This window comes from Homo sapiens, chromosome 1 (assembly GCF_000001405.40).
Source record: "Homo sapiens chromosome 1, GRCh38.p14 Primary Assembly".
NCBI lineage: Eukaryota > Metazoa > Chordata > Mammalia > Primates > Hominidae > Homo > Homo sapiens.
The window spans coordinates 189,645,248-189,661,243 of record NC_000001.11 but is presented as its reverse complement, the minus strand read 5'-3'; the positions used below and the strand labels follow the sequence as shown (position 1 = coordinate 189,661,243).

The 15,996-nt window shown below is 32.5% G+C and overlaps 2 annotated features.

The window, feature by feature from the left end:
* Positions 6,098–6,298: a silencer, noted in NCBI's record as "peak543 fragment used in MPRA reporter construct". NCBI's record gives its function as "represses an SCP1 promoter by STARR-seq MPRAs in K562 erythroleukemia cells {active_cell/tissue: K562}" and the evidence as "EXISTENCE:reporter gene assay evidence [ECO:0000049][PMID:32103011]".
* Positions 7,468–7,668: a silencer, noted in NCBI's record as "peak542 fragment used in MPRA reporter construct". NCBI's record gives its function as "represses an SCP1 promoter by STARR-seq MPRAs in K562 erythroleukemia cells {active_cell/tissue: K562}" and the evidence as "EXISTENCE:reporter gene assay evidence [ECO:0000049][PMID:32103011]".

Sequence of the window (15,996 nt, the reverse complement as noted above, 5' to 3'; positions counted from 1 at the left end):
CTATTAAGCACTAAAATGTGTCAGTTAGTGCATGAACATTATTTCTTATCTCTATAACTCTGTAACCTTAATTGTTAGCTAGTCTGAAATGACCACTTGAGCTTGTTAATAGGTTTATATCACCATTTCTATATTTGTTATTACTCATTTCATCCACATCATCTCTGATTATTTAGCAGTGTCTATTTCTATTCCCACAGGCTTCTACGGTCATTTGATTCAAACTCTTATTGATGGTTTAACAACTAAAGTCTTATACTTGTTGTAAGTAAAGTGACATTTAAAAGTAAAATTGAATACAGGATATAATTCCACTTCGCATTTTACTCCTAGAGTATCTGCCAGTAGAGACCAACAACATTATGATGAACAATCCTTACATATACCTCCAAGTGATAAAAATTTCAGTAGCTCAAGATGTCTGCTGCCTACATATAATATTTTTAAATAATCAAAAATTACAATTATCATTGAGAAAAAATATATGTTGCATTGACTTTAGATTATACCCATAGAAAAATAGGAAAATATAACTCAGTGACTAATCTGCCACAGAACACACACATACTAGGTTGTAAGCATTTGGAAATACTGTAATTATTTCCAGACTAAAAATATGCTCAAGTGAGAGCATGTAAATGTAAGTTGTTTACAAGTGACTCTCAATATTCTTCTCTCTGTATCTTCACATTTCTCTGCTTTTGCAATGATCATTCTATGGTATTAGGTGACAATTTCTATAAAGTTAGCATTTAATAAATCTAATGGGTCTATATTAAATGAATTATTTGCCATTTCAATTATTCAGTCCCATATAATGTCCTTTATTTGAGCCACTCTAGAGAATAGACCTTACGTGATCATGCATTTATTTTACACGAGTCCTATGTTGGAATATAAATTAATTATTTAAATCATTTGATGTAAATCTTACTGATGTAATTTGTTTGGGATCAGGACATTTATTACTAACAAACACACAAAAGGGCCAAATCTATTCTTGTGTAGGTATTCCTTTGGTGCCTAAATTTATAAACTATGTTTTTTTTTTCACTTGTTCTCATGAATTTGTAAAGATATACTTCTTATCACTTGCTTTATATATTCTACTTAATGGAACCAATTAATTATATATCTTCCAGCTTTATGCCAACACTGGAGAACCTTAAAACATGTTTTGTGCTGTATTTGAGTAGTAAAAATTCTGACTCTATATTGGTCCAATCAATATTGTTCAATTTATAAAATGATCAAGTTGGCAAGCAGTATGATGGCTCCTATGCTCAGGTATGCAATACAAATGTATGAATCACCCAGGATTTACAAAGCAATTCTCGTCATTATGAAGACACAGAGAGAGCCCAGATGTGAATTTCAACTTCACATAGCTTTCAATCAGAAACAGGAAACATGGCAAATTAACTAAAACACAAATTAGAAAATAATTGGTATCTTAATAGAAATCCAAATAAAATGTCACGAAATTCCACTTAAGGAAGAGTTCATTCCTAAGTGCACCTGCAGATAAAAATGTGTTTCTTAAAATAAAGATCAGATTTGGAAATGTGGAGAAAAGAGAAAAAATTAATTCCTGGTAAGCCTAACACTATAAAGACAATACTATTAGAAATCTGGGAAGGTTGTAAGAAATCGACAGTGGTTTATTTTTTTGTTTTAAAGTAGATTGGTTGTAGCAGAGACATAAAAAATGAGGCTGAGGAGTCTGGAAAGTGTGTTTTAATTGTGGAGATCCTTGAATACAGTACGAAGAACTTCAAATTTTATTTTTTTAGCCCATAAGTAGACTTTCTGTGTATTGTCATTATTGCAAAAGTTTCTGTGATATTGTCTTAAAACAGAGTCCTGGGCTCATCGTAGCCCTTGATCAATGTTTATATTTATTTATTTTTATTAAGTTTTACATTGAATTTAATAGGAAAACTTTCCAAAGCTTTCTTCATTTCTTGGTTTCTATCCTTTTTATCAGTCCCTTCATCAATAGAAAATAGAGAGATTATAGCATTTCTGGAAAAAAAATTGCATTAATCTTTATAAAATTATTACTACTCTCTGTGCAATTAATTTGAATATTTACTGATACAGCACACCAAAGTTGAGCATATTCTTATTAATATGAGCCCTATTTAAAGAAAACTGTAATTCAAAATTTGAACTTCAGCAAATCAATACCAGTCATTACTGAGCTGGCATAAGTATAAGGAAAAGTGACCATAGATTATCACATTTGTGTTTAATTTGTAGAGGATATATGTCTATTTAAATTCTAAGGCTAAATTATTTTATATGTCAATCGTGAATTTACTTCTCCTAAAATCTATTCAGAATACAGTAGTCCTTCCTTATCCATGAGGGATATGTTCCAAGAAACCGCCAATGGATGCTGGAAACTCCGGATAATATCAAACTCAATATTCAATACTTTTTTTCTATACATGGCCTGCTTGTGACAAATTTTCACCTTTTCACTTAAAATGAGTAGCTTACAACTTCTCTCTAGCATATGTTAATTGCCAGTATCGCTACTGTTGCACTTTGGGCCCATTATTAAATAAAACAAGAGTTTCTTGAATGTAACAACTGTGGTATCACAATGGTTGCTTTGATAACACAGAGGGCTACTAATTGACTGACAGGCAGTAGACAGCATGAATATGACAGACAAAGGAATGATTCACATCCTGGGTGGGACGGAGCAGAACAAGATGACAAAAGATTTTATCACACTACTCAGAAAAGCATGCAATTTAAAACATATAAATTGATTATCTCTGGAATTTTTCATTTAATATTTTCAGACAGACATTGGCCTTGGATAACAAACTGCAAAAGCAAACTCGGATTAGGTGGGACTACTGTGTTGGAAAGATATACTAACTGAAAATATTAGGCTGTCATATCCTCTGGTGTACTGTTACACAAATTTTAAAACAAAATTATAAAAGATCATTTGCTAAAATTAGGAGATAGAGTTACTATTTTAGATTCTACAGATGTTGGAAAATATTATCTGTAAAAAAAACATAGGACTCGATTTCAAAGCTTTTATATGTATTATGTAATTTGGGGATATTTTAAGATTTATAAACTAATATAACAATAATTTCAAAATTGCAACCCATTTTCGCTTAGGTGCTTCAGCTATTACCAAATACTTTCTGGGTGAGCGTCCGTACAGCCTATAATGACAGCCACATTTAGCCGAGTCCAAATATGAAATGTAGCAGGATCTAGGATCTCTACTTGCCACATTGGCATTCCTGCTCTTGTGTAATCCTCTTTCTTTCAGTGTAGGCTGAATTTATTGACAGTGGCTTTCATGTTGTGATATCCTCTCTCTCTCTCCCTCTGGAAAACCTACCTGATGACGGACTATGAGTAAATGTAGAAGCTTCTCCCCACTGTTTGCCCCAGTGGAGGCTTCATGAGGCAGCGTGAGTACAACATCATGAAAAAATTGGAGCCAGAATCATCCAGCAAATTTACTCTTGAATTCCTGATCAGATAATTGTGAAACAAATGTCTTGTTTTAAAGTTCTAAATTTAGGAAAAATTTTAATTGTTATGGGCATCACATAGTTCTGTAAAGAGAAAAATGGGTGACAGAAACATTTGTGATACCTTTTTATTCATCACAATCCACAAACTCCCTGTTTGCTAGAGGTAAATTACAGTAACTCTCAAATTACAAATTTTTGTTTGAAGAGTAGGATATTTCCTATTAGAACTACTCAAGCAAAAACACTTTCTTGTTTCTCTGTCTATGAGGTATGCTCTTAATATTGCCACTTTATTTAATTTTCAGAATCGACTTAATACATTTATGAAAGAAAAATGCCTGTTTGGATTCCCTACTATTCCGTAAAAACCCCAAGCTTCCTGTCCTAAGGATCAGATCTCTATGCTTTTGTCTAGTTAATTGCTCTGATCCAAATAGATAATACATTTTCTTTTATGTCAAGGAATGAGTCAACTGTTAGTGTCCAGAATAGATCCCTAAATTCAACCTCAGGGTATCAAGAAGAATGAAGAGTTACCCTGTCAAAATCAGTGAAGCATCAGAACTTGGAAACAACTTATGTTTTTAAAGGCTAAGAGGCAGGGGACCGTCTGGCCCCTGGAAAGATTTTATTTCGCTATCAAGGGTTTGGAATTAGGACTCAGAGCCATTACAATCCCATGGAGACCTTTTCAGGAAGGGAGGGGAGCAGCAACAGCCTTATTCCTCTATAAAGCAGGGAAAATTATTTTTTTCTCATCCTTAATCTGTGAAGTGTCCAGCTACTTCTGTAGGGAAACATTTTCATCATTTCTCATTATATTGCCTAGAGGAAAATGTCTAAAACAATGAAGGGCTGACAAATTATTATCTACTATGGGGAATTTAATAAGATATCTGTCTCTGACTCAGACATCTCTTGTGGTCATTTAAGATGAAATTAATAAAGATTAATATTAAAAACCAAACACTAGTGCTATTTAAATTCTGGGCATGTTCTGTGACATTCTTTCTGAAATGAATTAGCTTCGAAACACTGGTCTTGCAAGAGAGTTCTTTGGTCAAAGTAGGTTAGATTTTTGATTCAATATCTTGAAATTCATTTCAATTGTAGAATATTAAAGACTCAAATTCCTCTTTGTTAAAAAAGTGTATTTTGAAAACTACACTTTTCTTAATCTTTTTTGATTATTTGATTACTTTTGAATGTGCTTCCTTTCTATTTAGCATCACATGGCATCAATTTAATTTTTGGCATATTTAATAAGCACAACATGACGGCTTTTCCATGTTACGTAAACAATGTGTTGAAAAGTTTATTTCCATAATGATGATGATGATGATAATATATATTTGAACTACAAGTTGCAAAACACTTTTCTAAGATCTTTACATATATTAACTCATTTAATTTAGACAATTACTGTGAAAGAAAATAAAGACTGTATTCATAGATGAGAAAACTGCTGCTCAGGGAGTTTTATGTCTTCAATATTACACAGGCATGAAGTATAAACACATATAACCTAGCTCCAGCATCCATGTTCATATTTATTAGCATTACACTGCTTAGGTTTATTACAGAAATTCCTTTGTAGGACACAATACTGGACAGTATCTTTTTGGGTTTTAGAGGTTATTTTAGTTTATGTTTCATTATTAACATGCAAGAAGTTTTGAAAGGAAATGCTATCATTAGCATACAATGCAGCTGGGTTGCCTTTATATATTTGAGGAGTAACTAATAATACATTTAACAAGTTAGCGATCAAACGATTTGCTAAGTGTTGAGACAGATGGGATATATGGCTGAGAACACAGTAAATATCAGTACCTTATAATAGTAATTTAATAAAAAAATTAAGTATAGATTTATGATAAATAAAATAAAAATTACCATAAGTTTTATGATTAAGAAGAAGTCTATAAAGATATTTAGAAGTTGTGAGAGCAAATTCTGGCTATCTCTTAAGACACAACTGTGGTAAGCTGATAGTTTGCCCTTTATCTGCATTGGGATACAATATTTTAGTAAATCTATCACAGTGCATAGCTTAGACTCCATTTGTTTTGACTTTGAAAGTCTTCAAAGAAACAAACAGAAATTGCATATTTTATCCATACATTTTATTAAAGTTTCAACACACTTGTGGATTTACTGAATATAAACATCTTGGAGGAAATTTGAAAAAATAGTGATCATTGAAACAGTGTAAATCTTTTTTCAGCAGTATAAATAACTGTGTGAAACATACTGAAACAAAATCACATTAGCAATATTGATTCTGATATTTTTCTCCTATTTTCAATAGCAGGAGTAAATTAATCTGGTCTTCCACATATTTTGTATCATTAATGTATGCTGTAAAATGTTTAATACTCTTTTACAGTACTACTATCTATGTAGTTTAGTGACATTGCTTGTGTTTCAAATTGTCATGAATATTCATGAAAAAAAAGGAAGTAAGCATGCTAACTGATGATTTGGTACAATATAAGCTATTTCCCCTTAGGGTCAATCAACCTGACAGACTGAAGTGGTTGATACACATTTGATCATTGAAGGGAGACAGCAAGGAAGCAAGCTTATAAACCTCCTCTTGCACTATACCTCCCTCTTTTAGCCCCAGAATCTGTGCTCTTGATTATGCAATCTACATCATATGTACTGAAGAGAAGTGCTTTCTGACTCATCAGAGATATTCCTGCTGCTCCCTGAAACACATACTTCCATTTTAACATCTACTTATAGGCTTACTTAGGAAGAATAAAGACAAAAGGGGAAAATTGTGTCCTGTATTGTGTTTTCTGAATGTTATCTCAAAGCAAGAGGACACATAGCAGTATATCTTGAAAAATAAAAAAATTTTCATCACATATTTAGGAAGAAGAATTAAAGATTCTAACCCACAATCTTGAAATAAAGCTCCTGCCTCAGGAATATATTTTTCTTTAATCTGGCAAAATTACACTAGATATGCATCTGATTGACATAAAAAATTTGGCTAGAGGTGCAATATATAAAATAGTCTATTGTTTTCAGATGTGAAAGGGGAGTTCTTTCAGATTTGAAATGGAGTAGTACTCATGAAGACAATAATAGGGATCAAATCGAATGCACAGAATTTTATGTTGCTCAACTTTGAGCATAGATTCTTATGAAAGATGAGCAAACACACATGCAACCACACTTCCCCTCCCCACCAACACACCAACAAACAAACAAGAGAACTTTGATGATCATAGCATTAAGAAAGATGGCATTAACATAAAGATATGTTTTAAATATAAAAATATATTTTTAAATTGCAGGGAAGAACTTGCTGAGGTGCTCAAAATATATAAGAAAATATGTCCTCTGCATAGCAACCCAAGCTGGATATTATAATTCAGAAATTTTTGGCACATAAAATCATGAAACTAGATGAGATCAGTTAGAGAGTGAAAGTAAATAGAAAAAAAGAGACATTCTGAATCTAATGATGGCAACATTAAAAAATGAAGGACATAAGAAAGAATCAGAAAAAGAGATTAAGAAATATTAATAACTCCCAGAGAGATAGAAAGAAAACTGAAACAAAAGTGGTATACCCTGGAGGTCCAATGAATATAGCCTTTTGAAAGAGATTGGACAACTGTTTGTAATGAGGTTCCTAGATCAAGTGAATGCTCATGGGATTTAGCAGTGTGGTAATCATAATGACATTGACAAGGCAGAGTCAGGTAAGTGAACATGTGATTGGAATGGGTATAAGAGAGAACACGATTTGTAAAATAGATGATAGTATGTAGAGACAAACTATTTCAAAGATTTTTTCTATAAACAGATGAAGAAAAAAAGGACACTAGTTGGACGAAAAAACTGTCAAGTTTTTTATGTTAAGAGAAGTAATGTCATATGTTATGTTAGTGTGCTAAGAATTAAAACCAAGTAGGAGAAAAAAAAATGTGCTGGAAGAAGATAAGAAAACAGTAGGATAATGATCTTCTTTAGACAAGAGAGGATGGAATCCAGTGTACCAGCAGATGGAGGGACTTAGCTAGGAGTTTGGTCGGTACATTCATACTCACAGAAGGGAAGGTCGTTATAAACACAAACGGAATATTTGTGTTCTGCATTATCAGTTTCCTGAATGTTATCTCCAAGGAAGAGACCTGAGAACAATACATCTTGGGGACTAGAGATTTTTACACTTATTTAAATCAAGGAGATCAAGGAAAATAGGAAGGTGTAATGAGAGACTTTTTGAGGGTAAATTATATCGAAACAATAATAAGAGTATATAGGAGAATCATTACCAAAATTTTTATGGTATTAGTCGTCCTTTCTTTCTTAAAAAAATTTTGAGGGTTAAACTGCTTTTCTTTCCTATTTTCTCCTCTCTAAATATCTAAAAAGACCCCATGAAACGTCTATTGAAAGAATGTGTAGGGGGGTTGATTATTAAAACTAAGACCTACTTAGAAAGTCTAAAAACAATGCCTAACAGAACAAAGCAGAAAATTGTTATGATAATAAGGTACATAGATAGGAGTAGTAAGAAAATTGAAAAACTAAAGCCAATTTTTTGAATGTAACTCTTTCTGATTTGAACACTATTTTATATTGGGAGATCTTATAGCAAGAGATAAAAAACATATTCTTAACTATATATTTTCTCTTAGAAAAACTATATCTGTCTATCTTTCTATCTATCTATCTATCTATCTATCTATCTATCTATCTATCTACCTATCTATCTATACATACACAGTGAGCTCTCTGTATTAGTGAGTTCCACAGTGATGGAGTCAGTAAACCCTGAATCAAAATTATTCAGAAAGAAAAATATTCTACAAGTTCCACAAAGTAAAACTTGAAATTACCAGGCTTTATAAATTGTACTGAATTCATGTGAATTAAGTGATATATAAGCATTTCATTAAGTATTATAAGTAATCTAGACATCATTTAAAGTATATTTAAGCTTATTTAAGTAATATGTAAGTATACCTGAGGATGTGCATAGGTTATATGCAAATACTACATTATTTTATAAATGGGACTTGAGCATCCATGGATTTTGGTATCTGCAGGGGGTCCTGGAACTAATACCCCATGGATACTGAGGGAACACTGTATATATAACAAATGAAAAATTCAATGTGCAAAACACAGACAGCTTGTGAAAACAAAAACAAAAACAAAAAACCAGGAAAATTCCTACCATGATTGATCAAGATTTGTGAAAGATACACAAATTTTGTATGAGGGTGTCTCAGTAGGTTCAACTCACCCTAAGTTAGTGGTTTAAAGCTTTGTCTATTCCCTGTGCTATGGTGAAAGCTAAAGCTTTAAATTGCTAAGATGCACAAACACCCCGTGACTGTTTACCACTCTAGTTGTCTGCTCGCACCTTCCCTCACACCCCCCACAATGTATATAGAAGTTTTTTTAATAATAAAAATATTTTATTCTTGAATTAAAATTAATAAATACTGAAACCAGCTAACACAAACAAAATAGAATGCCTGTAAATGCCTAGAAAATACAACATTTACAAAATATTACTATCTTATGGCAAAATAAATAGCTTTTGGTTTTGATTTGCTTTTCGTAGGCTCTTCTTGCTTGGTAAAGATATAGTAGTTCCATATAATGAGTTCAGGAGTGATGTTATTTGCTATGACCGGAATTGGTTTAAATATTAAATTATGATCGGTTGTTTCTATAATCCATATATAAAATTATTTGATGATTTTGTTGTGTGTGCCTGTGTCTGTTGAGTTTTAATCACTGTTTTTATGTTTCAGAGTCTATTGCCTGCAGTATTTCTGTATCACTTTGGGGAATTTATATTTTTCAAGAAAATTGTTGAAAAATGTGTTCACAGTTGTCTCACTTTAAAATTTTGAATGTATCTTTATTTTTACTGAGTAATTATATTTATCCTTGTATCCTGCATAAATCTTGCTCAATCATGGTAGGAAGTTTTCTGCTTTATTATTTTTTCAAGAAAACTGTTAGGTTTTTGGAGACTGAATTTTTCGTTTGTTTTCTATCGCATTATTTTGTAGCCTTTTCGTTTATTTTCTCTAATTTTTTTTTACTTATTGTTTTTAATTTCCTATTTATTAAATTGTTAGTTTGTGATTTTTATTCTATATTGTAAATATTTAATACTAAATTTTAATGGCATGTGATAAATTGTGGTATGTGTACTATAATTTACTTTTCAGTTCTAAGTTTTAATTTCCATTGTAATTTAGTCTTTCCAATCTGAGAGTGATTTTTTTAGTATATTATTTAATTCCTAAATCCATTTTCTATTTTTTAGTTATCTTTGCTGTTTGACATCTACATAATTTTTGTCAAAGTCAAAACAATTTGTGTGATACTCATACTTTGATATAAATACAGAATGACTGAAATTTTGGTTTAGCTTTTCAGAAACCAGGCAGGGAATAGAAATTTTACGTGAAGGCAAGCTTGTAAATGAAACTTTTCCAGAGATTTGTTTTCCTTTCATCACAAACCCAGCCTGTGATCATTAATTTCTTTGAGTCTCCTTGCATTGTTGGGGTGGAGGGTGAATCTCAGTATTTTCAACCTATTCTGTTAGTGGATTAAGCCTTGTGTATTCCCTGCGCTGTGATGAAAGCAAAGCCTTAAATTGCTAAGGTGAACAAACACCCCCATGACTGTTTACCACTCTAGGTGTCTGTTCCCTCTTTCCCTCACTCCTGACTCCTTTTGTTTTGTTTTTTGGTTTTTTTTTTTCTTTTTTTGGGACAAAATCTCGCTCTGTCACCAGGCTGGAGTGCAGTGGTGTGAACCCTGATCACTGCAATCTCCACCTCCTGGGTTTAAATGATTCTCCTGCATCAGCCTCCCGAGTAGCTGGGACTATAGGGGTGCACCACCACACACAGCTAATTTTTATATTTTTAGTAGAGACGAGTTTTCACCACGTTGGCCAAGATGCTCTCGATCTCTTGACCTTGAGATACACCCGCGTCAGCCTCCCAAAGTGCGGGGATTACAGGCATGAGCCACCACACTTGGCCTCCTCACTCCTTTTTTAAGGCCTTGGTGACTTCTAATTTCTCCTGAACTCAGCTATTTATAAAATTAAAAAGAAAAATTGAACCAGAGTCTCTTTATGTGTTCTGGTTAATAATGTTTGTTTGCTTTTTTGTTTTGTTTTAATCTGGTATGTTATAAATCTGGATACACAAGTCTGATTTATTTTTCCAAATAAGATAAGACTGGGAAAATGAAAACCCCGATACCACTTTTTATCAACAATGGTTTGAAATTATATCTACCATGCGAGGAAATTGCTCAATTAATTATTGTGAATCTGAACTGGAAACCATACATCAGAGCATTTTTTGCTGCTGTTCTTGGTGATGAAATAAAACCTGCTTTTTTCTTACATTTAACGGGGACCTCTGAGAGCACGACTTGACTTTCAATTTCAAGTGGTCCATAATGTAGACTAAAAGGTGCTAGAGGGGATGAAACGAGGCGTTAAAGGATTTCTTAAAGAAATATTGAGGCAAATGTATACTTAAAGGTATCTATCTGTTACATATGTATACATGTGCCATGTTGGAGTGCTGCACCCATTAACTCGTCATTTACATTAGGTATATCTCCTAATGCTATCCCTCCCCCCTCCCACCACCGCACAACAGGCCCCAGTGTGTGATGTCCCCCTTCCTGTGTCCAAGTGTTCTCATTGTTCAATTCCCACCTATGAGTGAGAACATGTGATGTTTGGTTTTTTGTCCTTGTGATAGTTTGCTGAGAATGATGGTTTCCAGCTTCATCCATGTCCCTACAAAGGACATGAACTCATCATTTCTTTATGGCTGCATAGTATTCCATGGTGTATATGTGCCACATTTTCTTAATCCAGTCTATCATTATTGGACATTTGGGTTGATTCCAGGTCTTTGCTATTGTGAATAGTGCCGCAATAAACATACCTGTGCATGTGTCTTCATAGCAGCATGCACATGTACCCAAGAACTTAAAAGTATAATAATAATAATAATAATAAGATAAAAGTCAATCTCATAGAAAAAGTATCTATTTGGGCAATACATTATTAAATGGTATTCTTGTGGGAAGTCAGGCTTATGTTGAAAATTTAACTGAATCATAATGCTTTAGACTTACAAGTGTACTATCCTATCCCTGAAACTTTTATAATATATTGGATCTATTTTTATTTTTATTTTTATTTGCTTGTAGAAACATGATTAGTTCACAATTCACCACATTACTCTAAAAAAGAATATATTACAATAATTTTATTTTCACTGGAGCAACAGATAAAATTTTCTGTGCATAAAGCTCTTCCACTTTCAAAATGGAGCCTTATTAAAATTTAGTACATTGTATATTAAAACTAAAATTTCTAGAGTATGACTCACAAAATAAGCCAAAAAAACTCAAGCAGCAAATACATAAACAAATCCAATATTTTATCCAATTAACTCTGTTGCTGCCTAAATTTGACAACATGTGTTGTCTGACATACTGGAAAAATGAAACTCACGTGGTATTGCAATTAATATAGCCTTGGCCACAAGTAAGACCATATAATATTTGATTGCTTGCTTTGCTATTGTGTAGCAATAGAAACTCTCCTGGGTTTCTATGCTTATACTTTTGTTTGGTATGGTAGTTTTTTATATTGCATTTGAAATATAAATGTCAAAGAGTAATGCTATATATAGGATACCTACAACAATGTTCACAAGTTTGTAATTAATTAATTAAATTCTCTTTGCTGTGTTACAGATATCGCTTGAATTTTATTAACAACGTGCATTTCAATCCTATTTTATTGTCTTTCTGTTAAGAAAAACTGTAGAAGTGTTTCAAATGAAACATATATTCTATTATTTCAAACAATACAGTAAATTAGGACTTTTAAAATGAAGATTGATATTGACAGTACTTTTAGTAACATGCTTTAGATAATATAAACTTCAGACTTATTACATCTTATTTTCATAATAAATACAAATTATAAAAGATTCTAATTTGTAGTTATTCTGAATGAATTAAAAATGTTAATGCATTTCATTATATTTTAAAATTTTATGATAGGATATTTTTAATAGTTTAAAACTATAGGAAAGCATAACAGTCATAAAATTGCATCTTTTGAGATTAACATATTGCATTCCCTTTACTTTTTTCCTCTCATGTATCATTTTAACTATTATCATCTATATTTACAATTGAATGGCAATATAAAAATTAATGGTAATGAAACAATTTTAAGCAGAATAGTATAAATTTAAGAGTATAGACTCAAACTTAATTTTAACTGCTCTTTAATATTGCAGACATGTGCTAGGAAAAAAAATATTTTCATCTAGTTGGTGTGCTGTAACTGTTAATAGCCAGCATTTCAAAGACTAGGGCTACCAACATGATGTCACTGACGTGAACTTGTGAAGAAGTGGTCACTATCTGCTCCCCGGATGCAGTTTGAGTTGGCTCTACCGTATCACCGAAGTAAGACTTTTGTGTTGCTTTCAAGATTTGTTATGAGAAATACACTTTATAGTGAACATGTTTGTGCAAGAACTTTCCTTTCTGGGAGTCTTTTGGAGGGGAGGTTCAAAACAAAATAATTCTTCTCAAAAGTCAATTTGCTTTCCACAGGGTTGTGCCAGTAATAAGGAAATGTAAAATTATACTAATAAATGGCTACTAAAATTACATGTACTACATCATTTTCTTTTTCTTTTGGCCTGGAATTACTACACTGGGAGAATTCGTAAAGTTTTTTAAAGTCTGTTTACTTGAAGAATTACTTTATTATTCCTGTGTTACTCTGTACATTGATAAATTATCCCTCAACTACTTATTTATATCAAATTTCATTTTCTTTTCTTCTTGATCATCATTAAATTACCTGCTACTGTTTACTTGTTAGTTAAGTATTAACACATTTTGTATTCAAACAATATATTCATGACTATAAGTGCACATACGATAAATGCAAATATGTTGGTGAGTTTTCCCAAATTAAACGCACCTAGATAATAACACCCAGGCTGAGAAGCAGAACCTTATCTGTACCACAAAAAGCCTCCCTAATACCCCTATCCACGTGCAATCTGCCATTCCTTTCTGAAAAAAACACATCCTAAATTCTAACAGCATTGACTTGTTTGGCCAGTTTTTGTACTTAAAAATAAAATATTAAAATACAACAGTGTGTACTATTTGGTGTCTGGTTGTTTTGGTTCACCATAGGTTTGTGAGATTCTTCCATGATTCTCTGAAAGTGTCATTATGCAACTATATCACAATAAATTTATAAATTTTAATGTTGATAATAGGTGTTGTACAGTTTTCAGTTAGGACCATCAATAGGACTGCTTCTATAAACATTCTAATGCATGCCTTAAAAACTGTATGAAAATCTGTTGGGCACACACCTAGTAGTAGATGTACTAGTTCCTCACTGAGTACATTTTCAGTTTTAGTAGATATGCCAAAGAGTGTTTCTAGGCTGGGCGTGGTGGCTCACACCTGTAATCCCAGCACTTTGGGAGGTCTAGACAGGTGGATCACTTCAGATCAGGAGTTCAAGAACACTTTGGCCAAAATGGTGAAACTCTGTCTCTACAAAAATACAAAAATTAGCCGGGTGTGGTAGTGTGTGCCTGTAATTCCAGCTACTTGGGAAGCTGAGGCAGAAGCATCGCTTGAACCCAGGAGGCGGAGGTTGCAGTTAGCTGAAAATGCACAACTGCATGCCAGCCTGGGCGGCCGACTCTGCCTCAAAAAAAAAAAAAAAAAAAAAGAAAGAGAGTTTCGTAGATATTTTTGACAATTTAAACTCTCATCAGTTTGAAAATGCATTCAATATTTTTGCTCTATCGTTATTATAATTATTACAGTGTATATTTAATAATACCAACTTCAATTTAATTTTCCTAATAACTAATAAGTTGAGCCACTTTTTGTGTGTTATTGGTCAAATATATATATATATATAATATATACACACATATATATGCATATATATAATTTTGTAAAATATATTTTTAAGCCTTTGGGGTAAATTTTGTTGAATATTTACTTATCCTTTTCAAATTATAATAGTTCATGCATATTCTGTTATTTATTCTTTTTTATATTTTATATATATTCTTACTATATATTCTGGATATGAGTCCTAAATTGTATATATACATGGTAAATATCTCCTACTATTTTGTGTGCCGCCCTATTGCTCTCTGGACAGTATTTCTTCATAAAAAAATGTTTGATTTTAACATAACCCAGATACTTTTTTCTTCTGTGGGTAATGCTTTTTGTGTTGTTTTTCAAAAATGTTTGCCACCTCCCAGGTTGCTGATGTGATCTCCTGTGCTTTTATCTGCAAGATTTATAGCTTTGCTGGTGACATTTAGAACTACTATCCATCTGCGTTAAATTTGTAATTGTGGTGAAAGATAGGGACCAATGCACTATTTTTCCCTATTGATAGTCAAAGACAGCAAAATTTAATGACAAGGTTAAGTTTTTTTCTATGAGCTGTAGCATTACATATCTCATAAATCAGGTTATCTCTATGTCTGAATCTTTTTCCAGGCTCTCCATTTCATTCCACTGATAAGGTTTCTATCCTGTGCTTATAACATATTGCCTGACTTACTCTAAATTAACAGTGTTTGATATCTATTAGTTTAAGTCCTCCAGGTTTGTTCTTTTCCTCAAATTGTTTTGACTATTCTGGTTTATTTTCATTTCCATATGTATTTTAGGATCAGCTGGGAAACATATGCAAAATGAACCTTATAGGATAATTAACAACTTTATAATATTGAATATTCTAAACCATAATTATGATATATCTCTCTTTGCATAAGTCAAATTTTATTCATGTCAATACTGTCCTATTAGTCTCAATGAAGATGTTTTCTTTCTTCTTAGACTTTGCCTAAATGATTGTTTATAAATGCAATTTCAAACTTTATTATTTTAAAAATTTATTTAGTGTTGTTAATTGTTGATATAGAAATATAATAGAATTTTGCATGTATACATATTTTTATACAAATCACTTTGTATGCCATATATAGTGACTTTTCTAGATGTGTTATATGTCAGCTTTGTTTTTACCACAGTTTTTGAAATATTACCAAATGTTCTATTAATATTTGTAGATTTAGGGCTGGGCGTGGTGGCTTATGCCTGTAATCCCAGCAGTTTGGGAGGCCGAGGCAGGTGGATCACCAGGTCAGGAGATAAAGAACATCCTGGTTAACACAGTAAAACCCTGTCTCTACTAAAAATACAAAAAATTAGCCAGGCATGGTGGCACATGCCTGTAGTCTCAGCTACTCAGGAGACTGCAGCAGGAGAATCACTTGAACCTGGGAGGCGGAGGTTGCAGTGAGCTGAGATTGTGCCACTGCACTCCAGCCTTGGCGACAGAGCGAGACTGTCAAAAAAA